Source organism: Homo sapiens, chromosome 19 (assembly GCF_000001405.40).
Source record: "Homo sapiens chromosome 19, GRCh38.p14 Primary Assembly".
In the NCBI taxonomy this organism is placed as follows: domain Eukaryota; kingdom Metazoa; phylum Chordata; class Mammalia; order Primates; family Hominidae; genus Homo; species Homo sapiens.
Window position 1 is genome coordinate 20,472,740 of NC_000019.10, and position 24,084 is coordinate 20,496,823.

Here is a 24,084-nt window from a genome sequence, read left to right on the forward strand (position 1 = left end):
AAAATGACAAATTTGATTTATATATAAGGTTTTATTAAAATTAGCTTTAATGGATACTACACTATTACCAAAGTAAAAGTTGATTTTCTCTTGAACAAAAATTTGTTGTATTATTAATATGACAGCAAAATACTTCTGTTCACCTTTTGAATACATTCAACAGGAGAGAGTAAAAAAGAAATAGAATTTTCCCATGCTCTGGGATGTAAGAATTATCCAATCAGGGACACTGTGCTGGAAACCGTCCAATCAGGCACACAGCTGTAGCGAACAGCACGGCTTCCGGGTTTGGCGGGGCCTTTGTGTCTCTCTGCAGCCTGAGCTCCAGGTCTCTTCTTCACTGCTCTGTGTCCTCTGCCCCTAGAGGCCCAGCCTCTGTGGCCCTGTGTCCTGTAGGTATTAGGAGATCCACAGCTAGGACGCCGGGATCCCGGAAGCCCGGAAATGGTAAGAATGCCGGTCCGACATCCCGAGAGAGGGGGAGGGGCTGGTTGGAACCGGAAGGAAATGTCTTTGGCAAGACTCAGCTCCAGTCAGTCAGCTCCACAATTTGTGCCCCGAGTTCTCCTTACCCAGCTCGGCCTCAGTCCTGTTCAGCCATAAGATGGCGGCTACACAGAAGCCTGGCCCCCTGGGCGTCCTCTCTTCCGTGCGCAATGACTGTGTCCTGGCCTGGAGCCCTCTGTGGGCAGCTCTGCATCTGCAGCGCTGTGTCTCTCCCAGATTGTACAGGGATCATGAGAGGGTCGTCAAGGGAGAATCCTGACTTGGGGTTCAGGTTCATGAATGGGAAGAGCTTTGGTCCGTGGGGTTCACAGTTTCTCTTTTCTCCTATTAAAAATGTATGGGGCCAGGAGTGGTGGTTCATGCCTGTAATCCCAGCACTTTGGGAGGCCGAGGCGGGCGGATCACTTGAGGTAAAGAGTTATTAGAACAAGTAAGTTCCTCTTCAAAGACTCAACTTCTTTGTCATAAGTTGTAAATCAAATTTATCCCTGCTTTCCCCTTCTCCTTTTGTTGCAAATTGCTCGTTTACCCTATTTGGAAAAAGCTGGGGTCTAAGCCAACCGGGATCAGCTTAGATTATTGGGTCTGACCCAAGCCAATAGAGGAAGGACACAAAAACAGGAACTGTGTTAGGGTTAATAACCCCTTCCTGGCTGGGTGCGGTGGCTCATGCCTGTAATCCCAGCAATTTGGGAGGCTGAAGCGGGCTGATCACGTGGTCAATGTAAGGCTCTTGTATTGGTTTGAACCGTGAGAGCGTGCCAACAGACAACACCAGGCAGTGTGGAGCAACATGCTGTTTTAGTGAGTGCCAGGGTGCAGGCCGGCTGAGGCCTACAATGGCGTCAGCACCAAATGAGGACGAGGCAGGAGTTTTATTGTCTCCAGTAAACAGGAAGTCTCCCAGTCTGATGGGGCTGCTACGTAGTACCCAGACAGCCTCTTTCTCAAACTTCAGGGTTACATGTCTTCTGGCCAGAGTTGATGTCTTCCAGACGGTTCTCTTCCTGCTTCTGCTATCTTGCTGGCACACACTGCTGATGCAGGTAGGCTTGCGCCTTGGGACTGGGCCTGGGAAGGGAGGAGTTACTCATCCCTTCAAGCTTTCAGACCCCGGGGAGATTCTTTCTTTCCTCTCTTTTTGGTTATAGAAAGAAAGGGAAAAGGGGTGACTTTCTCAATAACTACTTCAGGTGTGACATAGGGGGTGGCATTGGAACCTTGGAAAAAGGTGCGTGGCTGGGTTTAGATGGGAGCTGGTTAATTTTTGGGGTATTCTTGAGAGACGGGTTGGTGTCCATCGTGTTGTTGAAGCAGAAGCATCATCTGGATTGTCTGGCAGTTAACTGTAGTTTCAACGAGAGTTTTAATGGCTTTTATTATTAGTGGGATAACACAGGCGAGAAACAGGAGGAACCTAATGATAAAGGTAACTGTCCCTACCAGCCTTTTAAATCCTCCTAAATGAAAGAACCACCCTCCTAGGAGGTTTGTTGGGCCACATCCCTTCCAGGTTTAGACTGGTACATGGGCTACTTTTCTCATGTTTGAAGTGATTTCTAGAACAACTTTTCTGTTATCATCTATGTTAAGACAGCAATTAGGATATTAAACTTACCACAGATTCCACCCTTTCCTGCTAATAAGTAGCCTAGTGCTGGCCTGTTTTGATAAATTGCTGTGCGCATTTGATTTTGTTGTTGTGTGAACATTTCCAAGGCTGAGACCGTTTGGTTAGTGATTATCTTTAGAACAGCCTGTAATTATTCTATTTAGCATATATATGGGAGTGCGATAACCTCATGAACCATCCTCTGCCTAAATGGCAGGGCCATAATATTCGATGATCCATTGCAGAGGCCACTCGTCTTCTTGCACAGGGACTCCAAGGGTGTCACCTGCTGTTAATGTTTTGGAGGAAGGAGTAGCCTTGGAGATGAGCTTGACCCTGGTGTGATGGATCCAGTGGGGGAGTTCTTGGACTCTCACTACAGTTGGCATGCTGAGTATGACAGTGTAAGGGCCTGTCCACTTTGGTTGTACCTTTTGGTGAGGGCTGGGTTGGCAGATAAACATGTCTATGCCTGCAAGGCAGTTATGTTGAGAGGACAAGGAGGTGCTGACAGGGAGAGGCATGGCCTCATTTGCTGCTTCACGAATGAAAGACTGTGTTGGATTAAGTAGGGGAGGTAATTCCTGAGTGGCTCGGAGTCTGGTAAGGATGGAGGCCTTAAGACAAAAGTATGGCTATGTATGATTTTGAAGGGAGTATAAAAAGAGGGTGCTTTTGGTGTTGTGTGGAGTCTCATGAGGGTGAAAGGGAGATTTCTTGTCCACAACTGACAGGTTTCTAGAGCTAGCTTGGTGAGTTGGGTTTTAAGGACAGAGTTGACTTTTTAAACTTTGCCTGAAGATTGAGGCCTGTAGGGTGTATGGGGAACCTATTTGATTCTTAAGGATGTAGAGACACCTTGGGTAATTTGGCTGATAAAGGTGAGCCTGTTATCATACTGGATGGATGTTGGGAGTCCGAAACGGGGAATTATATGCATGATGAGAGTTTGTGTGATGACATTTGCACCTTCTGAAGTTGTTGGGAATGCTTCTACCTACCCGGAGAAAGTACAGACAAAGACTGGAAGATAGCGGAGCCGTTTATCGGGCAGCATGTGAGTGAAGTTTACTTGCCAATCTTGCCTGGGTACCTTGCCCTGGGCTTGGTGGGTAGGAAAAGGTGGTGGCCAGGGTAAGCCTTGGGGTGACACTAAGTGGCATATAGAGCAGGACAGGGTGATTCCTTGAACACAGCAGGAAAGATGAGGACAAGTGAGAATAGGGTGGAGAAATTGAGGGAGAAGTTTGTAACTGACATGGAAAGAGTTGTGGAGACTTTGGAGGATAGGGATTGTTTGAGATTGAGGAAGGATGAAGCACCCTTCCTTGACATACCATGGTCCTTGCTTTTGAAGGTTTTTGGCCTGGAAGTCCTCTTTTTCTTTGGAGGAGTGAAAAGGAGGGAATGAGGACAGGGACAGAGCATGGCTGGGTTTAGATGCGAGCTGTTAGCACAGTGATGTGGGGAGTTTCTATGAATAGAGCATACAGTTGGAGGAGCAGTGGGGCAGAGATGAGACTTAGTACACTGGGGTGAGCTAGCATGTCTTTGATGTTATGGGTTGAATAAACTGTTAGGTTGGCATGGAGAGATAGTTTTAGGCTTTCAAGGGTGAGAACAGCAGCTGCCGTCAAGGCTCAGAGACAGGCAGGTCATCCAAGAACTGTGGCTTCAAGCTGTTTAGAGAGTTAGGCAACATCCTGGAGGGTGGGTCCCTTATACTGGGTTAGAACACCTAGTGCAACTCTACGCTGTTCGTCGGTATAGAGGGAGAAAGGTTTGGTAAGGTCTGCGTCTGGGAGAACGAGGATAGGGGCTGAGTTGAGAGCCTTTTGGAGTAGACAGAAAGGTTGGGTAATAGGCTGTGCAGGGTTTAAAGGCTCATGGAGAGGGCCTTTAGTGGCTTGGTATAACGGATTGGCAAGTAGAGCGAAGGAGGAAACCTAGAGACTAAAATATCCCGCTAGTCCTAGAAAAGAGAATTTCTTGCTAGTTTGTGGAGGCGGGAGGGACTGGAGGAGGGATATGTGGTTGGTTGTGAGCCTTCGGTTTCGTGGGGTAAGAGCTAGGCCTAGATAGGTGACTGAGGGGGTGCATATTTGAGTTTTAGGGGAGACCTGATACCCCCATTCTGCCAAGAAGTTTAAAAGAAAGATAGTATGGGCGTTGCAGTCTCTTTGAGAGGGGCTACACAAGAGCAGATCATTAGCATATTGAAGGGGAGTGGATGGTGTTAGGAATAAGGTACAGAGGTTGCAAGCCAGGGCCTGCCCAAAAAGGTGGGGACTGTCTCTGAAACCCTGAGGTTACTACTTCAAGGGTAGGTGGGCACAGCCTGGTGGGCTTACCTGAGGGGGCATGGCCTGGTGGGCTTATCTGGGTATGCACCAGGTGAAAGGTGGGTGTCGGGGTTTTCCTACGTAAAGGCAAAGAGGTCCTGAGAATCAGGGTGTGAAGGAATTGTGAAAAAAAGCATTATTTAGTTTAGGACAGAAAAATGGGTGATATTGTAGGGAACCACGGAAAGTAAAGTGTATGGGTTAGAAACTACTGGACATACTGGGAGTACAGCTTGGTTAATAAGCCTAGGGCCTGGACTAAGTGATAAGTTCCATGTAGCTTTTTAACAGGTAGAATCAGTGTGAAAAGGGGAGTTTGTTGGGCAGAGTAGGTGATTGGCGAGGAGGCGAGAAATGATAGGGTTTAGGCCTACAAGAGCTGCTTGGGGGTTGGATACTGCTTCTGTGATAGGAACTGGGTGGGGTTTTTAAGGGTAATGTGAACGGGGGCGTGGTGTTCTGTCACTGAGGGTGTGGAAGTATCCTAAACAGTGAGGTTAACTATGGATGGGGAATAAGGAAAGGCTGCATGTTTTAAGGTGGGAGGTTGGAGGAGAAGAAGAAAATTAGAAGCCCCCGAGGGGTCTGGGTAGATGCGTTGGGTACTATGGGGAATGTGGAGGTGGAGAGTAGTGTGGAGTTTTGAGAGGATGTCTCTACTTTGGAGGGGAGTTGGGCATGAGGGCAGGACTAAGAAAGAGTGAGTAAGGAAAAGGTGTGCAGGGACCAGAAAAGTGGAGGAGTGGCTCATGGTTTGGACACTTGTCCATCAATTCCTACAACAGACTGGGAGGACTGGGAAATTAGGTAAAGCAGAGTAGGTTGCCCCAGTATTAATTTTAAAAAACATACTGGCCTACCTGCCACCATCAGTGTTACCCTTGGCTCAGATGAAGATATGGTAGTTGCTGGGATGCCCTTTCCAGGGCACCATCAGTCTTCAGCAGCAAGGCTGGTGAGATCCAAGTAGGAGGTTTTGGCTGGCTCAGGAAGGGATGAGGGCAGTGCTTCTGGGGGACGCTCACAGTCTGACTTCCAGTGGAGTCCTCCATAGAGGGGGCACGAACTGGTGGGCTTACCTGGGTTTGGGCATTGTCTGGACCAGTGGCCTTCATTGCCACACTTGAAATGTGCAGGTGCAGGTGGATTCCTAGGGGCTTCCATGTGGAGCTGTGGCCCCATGGGCCTGCAGGGCCCCTGATGGCGGAGGCAAGCATTTGAAACTCTGCCTGTTTTTGCCTTTTACTTTCCTCATCATGATTGTTAAAGACTTTGAAGGCTAAATTAAGATCTTTTTGTGGGGTTTGTGGGCTGTTACCAAGCTTCTGGCTTCTGAAGCTTGTGCTGAATATCAGGGGTGGATTGGGAAATGAACTGAAGGTTTAAAATAGTGGTTCCTTCTGAGCTGGTTGAGTCTACGTTGTTATATTTTCTCATGGCTTCAGGTAAACAAGAGGGAGAAAAAGGGCTGGGTTTTCATCAGGACATTGGGTGATTTCTGAAAGTTTTTCATAGTTGACTGCTTTATGGGCACCTTTTGAGTCCTGCAAGGAGACACACAATCATGTGGTCTTGATAGTGGCATCCAGGGTCCCTGTCTTGATAATCCTAGTGGGGGTCCTGGTTGGGGACTGCCTCTGTACCAGTAGCTGGGCAAGAGCCTGGTGATTAATTGTATTAGCATGTGCCTGAGCTAGGGTCCAGATAGTCTCAGTCTTCTGGGGTGAGAGTTGAAGAGAGGATAATGTAGAGGTCATGCCAAGTTAGTTCATAAGACTGGGTAAGGTACTGAAATTCCCTAAAATAAGAGGTAGGGTCTTTTGGAAATGAACCAAATCTTTTGTTAATTTGAGAGAGATCAGTGAGGGAGAAGGGAGCATGAACTCTCACAATACCTTCAGCTCCTGCTACTTCCCAAAGGGGGCACTCTAGCACCGACACTGAAGTAAGGGTGGGGCATGGGCCAAAGATGGCACCTGAGTGAGTATGGATGGGAGAGAAGGAAGAAGTCGGAAGTGGTTCCTACTGACCATTTGAAGGGAGAAGGGGGGTTGAGTTGATAGGCAGTGGAGGATAGATAGGGGTGTAAGGTGGTTGGATGGGTTTACAGGCCTCAAGAGAGGGCGGTGGGGGAGGAGACTGGGTACAGGCAATACTAGAATTGTCCTGAGGAGGGGACGATGTAGGAAAAGAAGTGGATACTGCTGACTGGGAAGATGGCAGCTGAGAATATAAAGAGGAGGCTTGGGGGGTTATAGAAGACAGTTGAGAGGGAGAGGTAGGGGCTGTGAGGGGTGGACAGCAGTCTGCTGGATCCAGTAAGAAAAAAGACGTAGGGTTGGGAGGAGAAAGGTGATCAGGTCGGTGAGAATGGAGAAGTATTTGAACAAGTGAGCAAGAATTGCAGAGGTCTTGTTGTGATCTGAGTGCAAAAAGGCCTGGACATAAGGCATTTCTGCCCATTTTTCCAGCAGTCAGCAATAATTGCTTTAATCAGTTAAAATTGTAAAGTCGAATGTTCCATTTGTGGGCCATTTGGACCCATTATCCAATTCATAATGTGGCCAGACTGAATTGCAAAAAAAGACAAGGTGCTTAGGGCAGATATCTTGCCTGAGGCCTAAGGTTTGCAGGTTTTTTACAAGGCAGCCTAGAAGGCTGTCCTTCAGAATGGAAAACTGGGAATTTTCTATAATGGAGGGTAGGCACTAGAGAACAGAGAAAAGGAGACCGTCCTGGATAGCCGGATGGAGACAATAAAAGGAGCAGTTGTCATCACTGCCTTTTTCATTCCTGGAACGGGATCAGATGGCTTAGAGGGGTTCCCCTAAGGCCAGATGATCAGCTAGTGCCTGACACATGCCAGAGCCTTCTTGGACCAACATTGGATTTTTGGACACAAGAACCAAGAGAGGCCATACAGATTTTTCCCTGTTAAGCGGGCTCCCACAGAAAGCTACCAGTAGGTGAGATCACTGACTGATGTGCATGTACAGAGAGGCAACTGGAGGCTGAGGAGCTTCTTTTGTCCAGCTGCTGTGGCCTGCTCTCCAGGGCAGAGGGGTAGGTCCATGGGGATGCAGACATCAGCTCTCCTGGGTTTTGGCACCAAAATGTAAGGTTCTTGTATTGGTTTGAACCCTGAGAGCACACTAACAGACAACATGAGGCAGTGTGGAGACACATGGTGTTTTAATGAGTGCCTGGTTGCAGGCGGGCTGAGGCCTAAAATGGCCCCAGCACCAAATAAGGATGGGTCAGGGATTTCATGGTCTCCTGTAAATCAGAAGTGGCCCAGTCTGACATGGCTGCTATATAGTACCTGGACGGCCTCTTTCTTGATCTTCAGGAGTACGTGTCTTCTGGCCAGGGTGGGTGTCTTCTGGCCATCTCTCTTTCTACTACTGCTATCTTGCTGGTGCACACTGCTGATGCAAGTAGCCTTGTACCTTGGGACTGGGCCTGAGAAGGGAGTTACTCATCCCTTCAAGCTTTCAGGCCCCGGGGAGAATCTATCAGTCAAGAGTTCTAGACCAGCCTGGACAACATGGTGAAACCCGTCTCTACTAAAAATACAAACATTAGTGGGGCGTGGTGGCAAGAGCCTCTAATCCCAGCTACTTAAGAGGCTGAGGCACAAGAATTCCTTGAACCCGGGAGGTGGAGGTTGCAGTGAGCTGAGATCCTGCCATCACACTCCAGCCTATGTGAAAGAGCCAGACTCATTCTCAAAAAAAAAAAAAAAAGAAAAAAGAAAAAAAAAAGGTAAGCATCTTAAAATTTCCTTTGTTTATTTAAACACTGTGAGTAATTTCACTGGATTTTTCAAACACTTAGTTTCAAACACGAAGTGAATAACTCTGACATGGAAATTAAAGCTTGAACCTAGTGATTCCAAGCTAAGACTAATACTAAGCCTACAACAGGAGGTTTTTGTTGTTGTTATTGTTGTTTTTGAGACAGAGATTCGCTCTTGTTGCCCAGGCTGGAGTACAATGGCACGATCTTGGCTCACTGCACCTTCCGGTTCAAGTGATTCTCCTACCTCAGCCTCAAGAGTAACTGGGATTACAGGCATGTGCCATCACACCCAGCTAATTTGGTATGTTTAGTACAGACGGGGTTTCTCCATGTTAGTCAGGCTGGTGTCCAACTCACAACCTCAGGTAATTTGCCTGCCTCAGCCTCCCAAAGTGCTGGGATTACAGGCCTGAGCCACCGCGCCTGGCTAACAGTAAGTTATTAAAGGCCTACTGTTTTTTTCTGGGGAGCCTCCCCTGCAGATGTCCCAGCCTGCGCATCCTAGCAATGGAAGGAGCCTTTATCCTGAGAGAAGCTACAGAGTCCTGGAAAGCTGGGGCCCCACAGCTTGATGCAGTTAAGATGAAGACGAAAGGAAACTGGGAGGTTCTAACTGATAATGAAGTTATTGTTTTGAGGCATTTTTTAGACTTTGTAAAATAACAACGTCAGATTTATGTTAAAAAAAAAAAACGAATTCCAAAATGTATTGCAACAGGAGGAAGTATCAACTAACTATAAGGCCTTTATGGCTTGCAAAAATGTAGGCAGAAAAGGGCTTTCTTTCCTAGGGAGGAGCAAACAATATTGGAAAGGAGGTGGGAGGGGAATGGCAAATGGAGGGTGAAAAAGTCAGATTTTAGATCAGAGAATGTCATACCCTGAAATCAGCATGTTCTTAGTAGGGACATAAAATGGGGTTGTATGTTGACACAGACTGAGAGTAGCTCAAAGTTCAGGAGCCTGAGGGAGAAAGATAAACTTAAGTAAAGTTTGATTAAGAAATATTTTATTTTAGGCTGAGCTCAATGGCTCACGCCTGTAATCCTAGCACTTTGAGAGGCAGAGGCAGGTGGATCACCTGAAGTCAGGAGTTCAAGACCTGGCTAACATGGTGAAACCCTGTGTCTACCAAAAATACAAAAATTAGCTGGGTGTCATTGCAGTCATCTGTAATGCCAGCTACTTGGGAGGCTGAGGAAGGAGAATTGCTTGAACCCAGAAGGCAGAAGTTGAAGTGAGCCGAGGTTGAGCCACTGCACTCCTGCCTGGGTGACACAGCGAGACTCCATCTCAAAAAAAAAAGAAAAGAAAAGAAAAGAAAATGCTTATTTAAGTGGGATGGCATTTATTAACCAGAAAGTTCTGAAAAAAATTATTAGGAGATACCAGCTCTCTACGGTGCTGAATGAAGTCTACTTAAAATTACTACTAAGGTGATTCCGTTCCAAGATGGCCAAATAGGGACAGCTCTGGTCTACAGCTCCCAGTGTGATTGACACAGAAGATGGGTGATTTCTGCATTTCTAACTGAGGTACCTGGTTCATCTCATTGGGACTGGTTGGACAGTGGGTGCAGCCCATGGAGGCAGAGCCAAAGCAGAGTGGGGCATTGCCTCACCCAGAAGCACAAGGGGTCAGGTGATTTCCCTTTCCTAGCCAAGGAAAGCCATACTTTCACCAAAGACAGTGCCTGAAAAAATAGGAAACTTCCACCCAAATACTGTGCTTTTCCAATGGTCCTAGCAAATGGCACACAAAGAGATTATATCCCATGACTTTCTTGGTGGGTCCCATGCCCACAGACCCTTGTTCACTGCTAGTGCAGCAGTCTGAGATCAACCTGCAAGGCAGCAGCCTGGCAGGGGGAGGGGCGTCTGCCACTGCTGAGGCTTGAGTAGGTAAACAAAGCAGTCAGGAAGCTTGAACTGGGCGGAGTCCACCACAGCTCAGCAAGGCCTCTGTCTCTGTAGACTCCATCTCTGGGGGCAGGGCATAGCTAAACCAAAGGCAGCAAAAACTTCTGCAGACTTAAACATCCCTGTCTGACAGCTCTAAGGAGAGCAGTGGTTCTCCCAGCACAGTGTTTGAGCTTGGAGAACATACAGACTGCCTCCTCAAGTGGGTCACTAACCCCCGTGTAGCTTAACTGGGAGACATCTCCCAGTAGGGGCTGACTGACAGCTCATACAGCCAGGTACCCCTCTGGGATGAAGCTTCCAGAGGAAGGATCAGGCAGCAACATTTGCTGTTCTGCAATATTTGCTGTTCTGCAGCCTCCACTGGTGATACCCAGGCAAACAGGGTCTGGAGTGGACCTCCAGCAAACTCCAGTAGACCTGCAGCTGAGGGAGCTGACTGTTAGAAGGAAAACTAACAAACAGAAAGAAATAGCATCAACGTTAACAAAAAGGACATCCACACCAAATCCCATATGTAGGTCACCAACATCAAACACCAAAAGTAGATTAAGCCAAAAAGATGGGGAGAAACCAGATCAGAAAAGCTGAAAATTCTAAAAACCAGAGTGCCTCTTCTCCTCCAAAGGATCGCAGCTCCTCGCCAGCAATGGAACAAAGCTGGATAGAGAATGACTTTGAAGAGCTGACAGAAGTAGGCTTCAGAATATTGGTAGTAACAAACTTCTCTGAGCTAAAGGAGGATGTTTGAACCTATCACAAGGAAGCTCAATACCTTGAAAAAAGATTAGACAAATGGCTATCTAGAATAAACAGTGTAGGAAGGAGCTTAAGTGACCTGATGGAGCTGAAAACCATGGCACAAGAACTACATGACACATGCACAAGCTTCAATAGCTGATTCAATCAAGTGGAAGAATGGGTATCAGTGATTGAAGATCAAATTAATTAAATAAAGTGAGAAGAGAAGTTTAGAGAAAAAAGAGTAAAAAGAAATGAACAAAGCCTCCCAGAAATATGGGACTACGTGAAAAGACCAATTCTACGTTTGATTCATGTACCTGAAAGTGACGGGGAGAATGGAACGAGGTAGAAAACACTCTCCAGGATATTAACCAGGAGAACTTCCCCAACCTATCAAGGCAGGCCAATATTCAAATTCAGGAAATACAGAGAACACCACAAAGATACTCCTCAAGAAGAGCAACCCCAAGACACAAAATTGTCAGGTTCACCAAAATTGAAATGAAGGAAAAAATGCTAAGGGCAGCCAGAGAGAAAGGTCCGGTTACCCACAGACTGAAGCCCAACAGACTAACAGCAGATCTCTTGGCAGAAATGCGACAAGTCAGAAGAGAGTGGGGGCCAATATTCAACATTCTTAAAGAAAATAATTTTCAACCCAGAATTCATATCCAGCCAAACTAAGATTCATAAGTGAAGGAGAAATAAAATCCTTTACAGACAAGCAAATGCTGAGAGATTTTGTCTCCACCAGGCCTGCCTTACAAGAGCTCCTGAAGGAAGCACTAAACATGGAAAGGAACCACCAGTTCCAGCCACCACAAAAACATGCTAAATTGTAAAGACCATTGATGCTAGGAAGAAAGCCCATCAACTAACAAGCAAAATAACCAGCTAACATCATAATGACAGGATCAAATTCACACATAACAATATTAACCTTAAATGTAAATGAGCTAAATGCCCCAGTTAAAAGACACAGACTGGCAAATTGGATAAAGAGTCAAGACCCATCTGTGTGCTGTATTCAGGAGACTCATCTCATGTGCAGGGACACACATAGGTTCAAAACAAAGGGATGGAGGAAGATCTACCAAGCAAATGGAAAGGAAAAAAAAAAAACAGTGGTTGCAATCCTGGTCTCTGATAAAGCAGACTTTAAACCAACAAAGATCAAAAGAGACAAAGAAGGCCATTACCTAATGGTAAAGGGATCAATTCAGTAAGAAGAGCTAACTATCCTAAATATATATGCACCCAATACAGGAGCACCCAGATTCATAAAGCCAGTCTTTAGAGAAGTACAAAGAGATTTAGACTCCCACACAATAAAAATGGGAGACTTTTTAGACAGATCAATGAGACAGAAGGTTAACAAGGATATCCAGGACTTAAACTCAGCTCTGCACCAAGCAGACCTCACAGACATCTACAGAACTCTCCACCACAAATCAACAGAATATACATTCTTCTCAGCACCCCATCACACTTATTCTAAAATTGACCATATAGTTGGAAGTAAAGCACTCCTCAGCAAATGTAAAAGAACAGAAATCACAACAAACAGTCTTGCAGACCACACTGAAATCAAATTAGAACTCAGGATTAAGAAACTTACTCAAAACTGCACAACTACATGGAAACTGAACAACCTGCTCCTGAATGACTACTGGGTAAATAACGAAATGAAGGCAGAAATAAAGATGTTCTTTGAAACCAATGAGAACAAAGACACAATGTACCAAAATCTCTGGGACACATTTAAAGCACTGTGTAGAGGGAAATTTATAGCACTAAATGCCAACAAGAGGAAGCAGCAAATATCTAAAATCAACACCCTAACATCACAATAGAACTAGAGAAGCAAGAGCAATACGCATTCAAAAGCTAGCAGAAGGCAAGAAATAACTAAGATCAGAGCAGAACTGAAGGAGATAGAGACACAAAAAACCCTTTAAAAAATCAATGAATCCAGGAGCTGGTTTTTTGAAAAGATCAACAAGATGGATAGACCACTAGCAAGACTAATAAAGAAGAAAAGAGAGAATAATCAAATAGGTGCAATAAAAAATGATGAAGGGGATATCACCACCAATCCTGCAGAAATACAAACTACCATCAGAGAATACTATAAACACCTCTATGCAAACAAACTTGAAAATCTAGAAGAAATGAGTAAATTCCTGGACACATACACCCTCCTAAGATTAAACAAGGAAGAAGATGAATCTCTGGATAGACCAATAACAGGCTCTGAAATTAAGGCAATAATTAATAGCTTACCATCTAAAAAAAGTCCAGGACCAGACAGATTCACAGCTGGTTTCTATGAGGAGGAGCTGGTACCATTCCTTCTGAAACTATTCCAATCAATAGAAAAAAAAGGAATCCTCCCTAACTCATTTTATGAGGCCAACAGCATCCTGATACCAAAGCCTGGCAGAGACACAACAAAAAAAGGAGAATTTTAGACCAATATCACTGATGAACATCAGTGCAAAAAACCTCAATAAAATACTGGCAAACTGAATCCAGCAGCACATCAAAAAGCTTATCCACCACAATCATGTTGGTTTCATCCCTGGAATGCAGGGCTGGTTCAACATACACAAATCAATAAACATAATCCATCACATACACAGAACCAAAGACAAAAAAACCACATGATTATCTCAATAGATGCAGAAAAGGCCTTTGACAAAATTCAACAACCTTCATGCTAAAAACTCTCAATAAACTAGGTATTGATGTAACATATCTCAAAATAAAAAGAGGTATTTATGACAAACCCACAGCCAATATCATACTGAATGGGAAAAAAGTGGAAGCATTCCCTCTGAAAACTTGCACAAGACAGGGATGCCCACTGTCACCACTTCTATTCAACATAGTGTTGGAAGTTCTGGCCAGGGCAATCAGGCAAGAGAAAGAAATAAAGGTATTCAATTAGGAAAAGAGGAAGTTAAACTGTCCCTATTTGCAGATGACAAAATTGTATATTTAGAAAATGCCATCGTCTCAGCCCAAAATCTCCTTAAGCTGATAATCAGCTTCAGCAAAGTCTCAGGATACAAAATCAATGTGCAAAAATCACAAGCATTCCTATACACCAATAACAGACAATCAGAGAGCCAAATCATGAGTGAACTCCCATTCACAATTGCTAGAGAGAATCAAATACTTAGGAATCCAACTTAAAAGGGATGTGAAGGACCTCTTCAAGGAGATCTACAAACCACTGCTCAATGAAATAAAAGAGGACATAAACAAATGGAAGATCATTCCATGCTCATTGATAGGAAGAATCAATATCATGAAAATGGCCAGACTGCCCAAGGTAATTTATAGATTCAATGCCATCCTTATCAAGCTACCAATCATTTTCTTCACAGAATTGGAAAAAAACTACTTTAAAGTATATATGGAACCAAAAAAGACCCCACATTGCCAAGATAATCCTAAGCAAAAAGAACAAACATGGAGGCATTATGCTACCTGACTTTATACTATACTACAAGGCTAGAGTAACCAAAACACCATGGTACTGGTGACAAAACAGATATATAGACCATTGGAACAGAACAGAGGCCTCAGAAATAACACCACACATCTACAACTATCTGATCTTTGACAAAGCTGACAAAAACAAGATATGGGGAAAAAATTCCTTATTTAATAAATAGTGTTGGGAAAACTGGCTAGCCATATGTAGAAAGTTGAAACTGGATCCCTTCCTTACACCTTACACAAAAACTAACTCAAGATGGATTAACGACTTAAATGTTAGACCTAAAACCATAAAAACCCTAGAAGGAAACCTAGGCAGTACCATTCAGGACATAGGCATGTGCAAGGACTTCATGACTAAAACACCAAAGCAATGGCAACAAAGGCAAAAATAGAGAAATGGGATCTAATTAACTAAAGATCTTCTGCACAGCAAAAGAACTACCATCAGAGTGAAGAGGCAACTTTCAGAATGAAAAAAAATTTTTGCAATGTACCCATCTGACAAAGAGCTAGTATCCAGAATCTACAAAGAACTTAAACATATTTAGAAGAAAAAAAACCTCATTAAAATTGGGCAAATAATATGAACAGACACTTCTCAAAAGAAGACATTCATGCAGCCAACAGACATATGAAAAAAATGGTCATCATTACCGGTCATTAGATAAATGCAAATCAAAACCACAGTGAGATACCATCTCACAACAGTTAGAATGGCGATCATTAAAAAGTCAGGAGACAACAGATGCTGGAGAGGTTGTGGAGAAATAGGAATGATTTTAGACTGTTGGTGGAAGTGTAAACTAGTTCAACCATTGTGGAAGACAATGTGGTGATTCCTCAAGGATCTAGAACAAGAAATACCATTTGACCCAGTGATCCCATTACTGGGTATATACCCAAAGGATTATAAATCATGCTACTATAAAGACACGTGCACATGTATGTTTATTGCAGCACTATTCACAATAGCAAAGACTTGGAACCAACTCAAATATCCATCAATGATAGACTGGATTAAGAAAATGTGGCACATATACACCATGGAATACTATGCAGCCATAAAAAATGAGTTCATGTCCTCTGCAGGGACATAGATGCAGCTGGAAACCATCATTCTGAGCAAACTGTCACAAGAACAGAAAACCAAACACCACATGTTCTCACTCATAGGTGGGAATTGAACAATGAGAACAGTTAGACACAGGGTGGGGAACATCACACCCTGGGGTCTGTCATGGGGTGGGGTGCAGGGGGAGGGATAGCATTAGGAGAAATACCTAATGTAAATGATGAGTTAATGGGTGCAGCAAACCAACATGGCACATGTATACCTATGTAACAAACCTGCACATTGTGCACATGTACCCTAGAACTTAAAGTATAATAATAAAAAATAAAAAAAAGTACTACTAAAAATTATGGAACATAGGAGTTATCTGTACATTGAAGTTTGCATAAAACATGTTTCTTTAAGGTTAAATTCAGATTTTATTTACTTTGTGTTGGAGGAATATTTCAACAGTGATGCTGTGTTCTTCTGTGTGCATTAGCACATCATAAAAATTTGTCCAGTGCAGTTAATGGTTAATGATTCACTTGCTTAAATAGCTCTCTGACAGATTTTTTCACTCTTCAGTTAATTATTTTTCTCTTCATTATTAAGTATCTTTATGCAGCTGATGTGTATAAAACGCTATACTTAATCTGGCAGCTGCCCTTTTTTCTTATTTTTTCTTCATATTTTTCTTTGGAAAATGAAGGCTTTTATCTTTGTTTACAGGTGAGAAAAACTTGGAAAACCCAGGCTTTTCCACTTACTGGATGTGTTACAAAATATCCTTCTTGGGCCAAAAACATAGACAGTATTGCTGAGCTTGTTAGAAATTAAAAAAATCAGACTTTATGTCGGATCTTCTGGAAAAAAAAAAAAAGAAAAAAACCTGTATAACAAGGTCTTGAACTTATTGTACATATCAAAATTTCAGAGGTGTCTTGTAGCTCAATATGTCTTTTTCCATCTGAAAAATATGCACAACTCATTCAGTATGATGTAAATATAGCACTGAAAAGTGTGTATGTTGATGTTCATGCTCTTAATTTTATACTTTGTTAGCTACAATAACATCATATATGAACTGATGTGGATCTTATGCTGTTCTTTTTTTCTCAGAGTTAAAAAATACATTAGAGAATATTTCTTTGTTGGAGATTATTTTCTTGGATAATTTAATTCTATAAGTAAGAACCAGTTCCTTTTACTTTCCAATTTCACCTTCAGTCAAAATAAAAACTCTGCCCATGGCCACTTGGTAAAAATGTGTGTGTGTGAGTGTGTGTTTGTTTCAGGGGCCATTGCAATTTAGAGATGTGCTTACAGAATTATCTCTGGAGGAGTGGCATTGCCTGGATACTTTACAGCAAAATTTACATAGCGATGTGGTGTTAGAGAACAACATAAACCTGGTCTTTCTTGGTGAGGATAACTTTAATACATAATTCATAATATACTCTAAAGGTTTTCTTTCTCTTTTTTGTGGAATGTTTTTTAGTAATGTATTCATTGATCAAAGAGTTTCAGAACCCATTTTCCAGAAAATCTTTAGAAATTTTTCATTTAGAAAAGAATTTGTTCAAGATGTTTTGTGTTAATCAAAACTTTACACATTCCTGAGTTGAGCTATATTCTTCACTCTAAATTAGTGATAATTCCAGAAATTTGGTGGCATAAAATATTGTTGTCCCCACCTGAAAATCTAATTATCAGCAACAAGTTTTGATTCTGTAGTACCAGGTAGTAAAATTAAAAAACCTACAAGTAGGCTGGGCGCGGTGGCTTATGCCTATAATCCCAGCACTTCAGGAGGCTGAGGCAGGAAGATCATGAGATCAGGAATTCGAGACCAGTCTGACCAACATGGAGAAATTCCATTTCTAATAAAAATACACAATTAGCCGGGCATGGTGGCACATGAATGAAATCCCAGCTACCCTGGAGACTGAGGCAGGAGAATTGGTTGAACCCAGAAGGCAGAGGTTTCACTGAGCCAAGATCGTGCCATTGCACTTCAACCTGGGCAATAAGGGGGAAACTCTGTCTCAAAAAGAAAAGAAAAGAAAAGAAAAACTGATGAATTCAAAGTGTTTTCTGGGAGCCAAGATGGCCAAATAGGAACAGCTCCAGTCTACAGCTCTCAGCATGAGTGACACAGAACACGGGTGATTTCTGCATTTCCAACTGAGGTACCAGGTTCATCTCACTGGGGAGTGCCAGAGAGTGGGTGCAGGATACTGGGTGCACTGCACCGTGTGTGAGCCAAAGCAGGGTAAGGCATCCCCTCACCCAGGAAGTGCAAGGGGTCAGGGAATTTCCTTTCCTAGTCAAAGAAAGGGGTGACAGACAGCACCTGGAAAATCGGGTCACTCCCACCCTAATACTGTGCTTTTCCAATGAGCTTAACAAACGGCACACCAGGAGATTATATCCCACACATGGCTCAGAGGGTCCTACGCCCATGGAGCCTTGCTCATTGCTGGCACAGCAGTCTGAGATCAAACTGCAAGGCAGCAGAGAGGCTGGGGGAGGTACGCCCACCATTGCTCAGGCTTGAGTAGGTAAACAAAGCTGCCAGAAGCTTGAACTGGGTGGAGCCCACCTCAGCTCAAGGAGGCCTGCCTGCCTCTGTAGGCTCCACCTCTGGGGGCAGGGCACAGACAAAAGACCGCAGTAACCTCTGCAGACTTAAATGTCTTTGTCTGACAGCTTTAAAGAGAGTAGTGGTTCTCCCAGCACGCCGCTTGAGATCTGAGAATGGGCAGACTGCCTCCTGAAGTGGGTCCCTGACCCCTGAGTAGCCTAACTGGGAGGCATCTCCCAGTAGGGGTGGACTGACACCTCACATGGCCGGGTACTCCTCTGAGACAAAACTTCCAGAGGAACAATCAGGCAGAAGCATTTGTGGTTCACCAATATCCACTGTTCTGCAACCACTGCTGCTGATACCCAGGCAAACAGGGTCTGGAGTGGACGTCCAGTAAACTCCAACAGACCTGCAGCTGAGGGTCCTGACTGTTAGAAGGAAAACTAACAAACAGAAAGGACATCCACACCAAAAACCCATCTGTACGTCACCATCATCAAAGACCAAAGGTAGATAAAATCACAAAGATGGGGAAAAAACAGAGCAGAAAAACTGGAAACTCTAAAAATCAGAGTGCCTCTCCTCCTCCAAAGGAACGCAGCTCCTCATCAGCAATGGAACAAAGCTGAGCGGAGAATGACTTTGACGAGTTGAGAGATCAAGGCTTCAGAAGATCAAACTACTCCAAGCTAAAGGAGGAAGTTCGAACCAATGGCAAAGAAGTTAAAAAATTTGAAAAAAGAATTAGACTAATGGATAACTAGAATAACCCATGCAGAGAAGTCCTTAAAGGACCTGATGGATCTGAAAACCATGGCATGAGAACTACGTGATGAATGCACAAGCCTCAGTAACCGATGCGATCAACTGGAAGAAAGGGTGTCAGTGATGGAAGACGAAATGAATGAAATGAAGCATGAAGAGAAGTCCTTAAAGGACCTGATGGATCTGAAAACCATGGCACGAGAACTACGTGATGAATGCACAAGCCTCAGTAACCGATGCGATCAACTGGAAGAAAGGGTGTCAGTGATGGAAGACGAAATGAATGAAATGAAGCATGAAGAGAAGTTTAGAGAAAAAAGAATAAAAGGAAATGAACAAAGCCCCTAAGAAATATGGGACTATGTGGAAAGACCAAATCTATGTCTAATTGGTGTACCTGAAAGTGACGGGGAGAATGGAACCAAGTTGGAAAACACTCTGCAGGATATTATACAGGAGAACTTCCCCAATCTAGCAAGGCAGGCCAACATTCAAATTCAGGAAATACAGAGAACGCCACAAAGATACTCCTTGAGAAGAGCAATTCCAAGACACATAATTGTCAGATTCACCAAAGTTGAAATGATGGAAAAAATGTTAAGGGCATCCCAAGAGAAAGGTGGGTTACCCACAAAAAGAAGCCCATCAGACTAACAGCTGATCTCTCTGCAGAAACTCTGCAAGCCAGAAGAGAGTGGGGGCCAATATTCAACATTCTTAAAGAAAAGAATTTTCAACCCAGAATTTCATATCCAGCCAAACTAAGTTTCATAAGTGAAGGAGAAATAAAATACTTTACAGACAAGCAAATGCTGAGAGATTTTGTCACCACCAGGCCTGCCCTAAAAGAGCTCCTGAAGGAAGCACTAAACATGGAAAGGAACAACCAGTACCAGCCACTGCAAAAACATGCCGAATTATAAAGATCATCAAGACTAGGAAGAAACTGCATCAACTAATGAGCAAAATAACCAGCTAACATCATAATGACAGGATCAAATTCACACATAACAATACTAATCTTAAATGCAAATGGGCTAAATGCTCCAATTAAAAGGCACAGACTGACAAATTGGATAAAGAGTCAAGACCCATCAGTGTGCTGTATTGAGGAAACCCATCTCATGTGCAGAGACACACATGGGCTTAAAATAAAGGGATGGAGGAAGATCTGCCAAGCAAATGGAAAACAAAAAAAGGAAGGGGTTGCAATCCTAGTCTCTGATAAAACAGGCTTTAAACCAACAAAGATCAAAAGAGACAAAGAAGGCCATTACATAATGGTAAAGGGATCAATTCAACAAGAAGAACTAACTGTCCTAAATATATGTGCACCCAATATAGGAGCACCCAGATTCATAAAGCAAGTCCTTAGTGACCTGCAAAGTGACTTAGACTCCCACACAATAATAATGGGAGACTTTAACACCCCACTGTCAACATTAGACAGATCAACGAGACAGAAAGTTAACAAGGATATCCAGGAATTGAACACAGCTCTGCACCAGGCAGACCTAATAGACATCTACAGAACTCTCCACCCCACATCAACAGAATATACATTCTTTTCAGCACCACACCACACCTATTCCAAAATTGACCACATAGTTCTATGGAAGTAAAGCACTCCTCAGCAAATGTAAAAGAACAGAAATTATAACAAACTGTCTCTCAGACCACGGTGCAATCAAACTAGAGCTCAGGATTAAGAAACTCACTCAAAACCGCTCAACTACATGGAAACTGAACAACCTGCTCCTGAATGACTACTGGCTACATAACGAAATGAAGGCAGAAATAAAGATGTTCTTTGAAACCAACGAGAACAAAGACACAACATACCAGAATCTCTGGGACACATTCAAAGCAGTGTGTAGAGGGAAATTTATAGCACTAAATGCCCACAAGAGAAAGCAGGAAAGATCTAAAATTGACACCCTAACATCACAATTAAAAGAACTAGAGAAGCAAGAGCAAACACATTCAAAAGCTAGCAGAACGCAAGAAATAACTAAGATCAGAGCAGAACCGAAGGAGATAGAGACACAAAAAAATCCTTCAAAAAAATCAATGAATCCCAGAGCTGGTTTTTTGAAAAGATCAACAAAATTGATTGACCGCTAGCAAGACTAATAAAGAAGAAAAGAGAGAAGAATCAAATAGACGCAATAAAAAATGACAAAGGGGATATCACCACTGATCCCACAGAAATACAAACTATCATCAGAGAATACTATAAACACCTCTATGCAAATAAACTAGAAAATCTAGAAGAAATGGATAAATTCCTGGACACATACTCTCTCCCAAGACTAAATCAGGAAGAAGTTGAATCTCTGAATAGACCAATAACAGGCTCTGAAATTAAGGCAATAATCAATAGCTTACCAACCAAAAAAAGTCCAGAACCAGATGGATTCACAGCTGAATTCTACCAGAGGTACAAGGAGGAACTGGTACCATTCCTTCTGAAACTATTCCAATCAATAGAAAAAGAGGGAATCCTCCCAAACTCATTTTATGAGGCCAGCATCATCCTGTTACAAAATCCTGGCAGAGACACAACAAAAAAAGAGAATTTTAGACCAGTATTCTTGAACATTGATGCAAAAATCCTCAATAAAATACTGGCAAACTGAATCCAGCAGCACATCAAAAAGCTTATCCTCCATGATCAAGTGGGCTTCATCCCTGGGATGCAAGGCTGGTTCAACATATGAAAATCAACAAACGTAATCCAGCATATAAACAGAACCAAAGACAAAAACCACATGATTATCTCAATAGATACAGAAAAGGCCTTTGACAAAATTCAACAATGCCTCATGCTAAAAACTCTCAATAAATTAGGTATTGATGGGACGTATCTCAAAATAATAAGAGGTATTTATGACAAACCCAAAGCCAACATCATACTGGATGGACAAAAACTGGAAGCATTCCCTTTGAAAACTTGCACAAGACAAGGATGCCCTCTGTCACCACTCCTATTCAACATAGTGTTGGAAGTTCTGGCCAGGGCACTCAGGCAGGAGAAGGAAATAAAGGGCATTCAATTAGGAAAAGAGGAAGTCAAATTGTCCTTGTTTGCAGATGACATGACTGTATATTTAGAAAACCCCATAGTCTCACCCCAAAATCTCCTTAAACTGATAAGCAACTTCAGCAAAGTCTCAGGATACAAAATCAATGTGCAAAAATCACAAGCATTCTTATACACCAATAACAGTCAAACAGAGAGCCAAATCATGAGTGAATTCCCATTCACAATTGCTTCAAAGAGAATAAAATACCTAGGAATCCACCTTACAAGGGATGTGAAGGACCTCTTCAAGGAGCACTACAAACCACTGCTCAATGAAATAAAAAGAGGATACAAACAAATGGAAGAATATTCCATGCTCATGGGTAGGAAGAATCAATATCATGAAAATAGCCATACTGCCCAAGGTAATTTATAGATTCAATGCCATCCCCATCAAGCTACCACTGACTTTCTTCACAGAATTGGAAAAAACTACTTTAAAGTTCATATGGAACCAAAAAAGAGCCCACATTGCCAATTCAATCCTAAGCCAAAAGAACAAAGCTGGAGACATTATGCTACCTGACTTCCAACTATACTACAAGGCTACAGTAACCAAAACAGCATGGTACTGGTATCAAAACAGAGATATAGACCATTGGAACAGAACAGAGCCCTCAGAAATAATGCTGCATATCTACAACTATCTGATCTTTGACAAACCTGACAAAAACAAGCAATAGGGAAAGGATTCCCTATTTAATAAATGGTGCTGGAAAAACTGGCTAGCCATATGTAGAAAGCTGAAACTGGATCCTTTCCTTACACCTTATACAAAAATTAATTCAAGGTGGATTAAAGACTTCCACGTTAGACCTAAAACCATAAAAACCCTAGAAGAAAACCTAGGCAATACCATTCATGACATAGGCATGGACAAGGATTTCATGTCTAAAACACCAAAAGCAATGGCAACAAAAGCCAAAATTGACAAATGGGATCTAATTAAACTAAAGAGCTTCTGCACAACAAAAGAAACCACCATCAGAGTGGACAGGCAACCTAAAGAATGGGAGAAATTTTTTGCAACCTACTCATCTGACAAAGGGCTAATATCCAGAATCTACAATGAACTCAAACAAATTCACAAGAAGAAAACAAACCCCATCAACAAGTGGGCAAAGGATATGAACAGACACTTCTCAAAGGAAGACATTTATGCAGCCAAAAAATACATGAAAAAATGCTCATCATCACTGGCCATCAGAGAAATGTAAATCAAAACCACAGTGAGATACCATCTCACGCCAGTTAGAATGGCAATCATTAAAAAGGAAACAACAGGTGCTGGAGAGGATGTGGAGAAATAGGAACACTTTTACACTGTTGGTTGGACGGTAAACTAGTTCAACCATTGTGGAAGTCAGTGTGACAATTCCTCAGGGATCTAGAACTAGAAATACCATTTGACCCAGCAATCCCATTACTGGGTATATACCCAAAGGATTATAAATCATGCTGCTATAAAGACACAGGCACACGTATGTTTATTGTGGCACTATTCACAATAGCAAGGACTTGGAACCAACTGAAATGTCCATCAATGATGGACTGGATTAAGAAAATGTGGCACATATACACCATAGAATACTATGCAGCCATAAAAAATTATGAGTTCATGTGCTTTGTAGGGACACGGATGAAGCTGGAAACTATCATTCTCAGCAAACTATCACAAGGACCGAAAACCAAACACTGCATGTTCTCACTCATAGGTGGGAATTGAACAATGAGGACACATGGACATAGGAAGGGGAACATCACACACTGGGGACTGTTGTGGGGTGGGGGAAGGGAGGAGGGATAGCATTAGGAGATATACCTAATGCTAAATGACAAGCTAATGGGTGCGGCACACCAACATGGCAAATGTATACATATGTAACAAACTTGCAAGTTGTGTACATGTACCCTAAAACTTATAGTATAATAATAATAACAATAAAAGTGTTTTCTAAATATTTAGAAATTTCTGTTTTAACTTAGTATTTTTGTATTAATTTACTAGAATATTTTATCACACCCTCTCAGCTGAGCACATTACTAGCTTGTAATTGGAGAATATGAGCAAGATTCATATTATTTATTTATTTATTTTTATTTTTTTGAGACAGAGTGTCACTTTGTCACCCAGGCTAGAGTGCAGTGGTGCGATCTG

At 42.7% G+C, this 24,084-nt stretch overlaps 1 long non-coding RNA gene across 1 annotated transcript in view; it reads left to right on the forward strand.

The window, feature by feature from the left end:
* Positions 1–302: 302 nt before the first annotated feature.
* Positions 303–24,084, forward strand: part of LOC105372316 (uncharacterized) — a 98,054-nt gene continuing 74,272 nt past the window's right edge. The window contains exon 1 of the long non-coding RNA XR_936408.3: positions 303–447. This is a non-coding gene — a long non-coding RNA (uncharacterized LOC105372316). The remainder of the gene's footprint in view (positions 448–24,084) is intronic.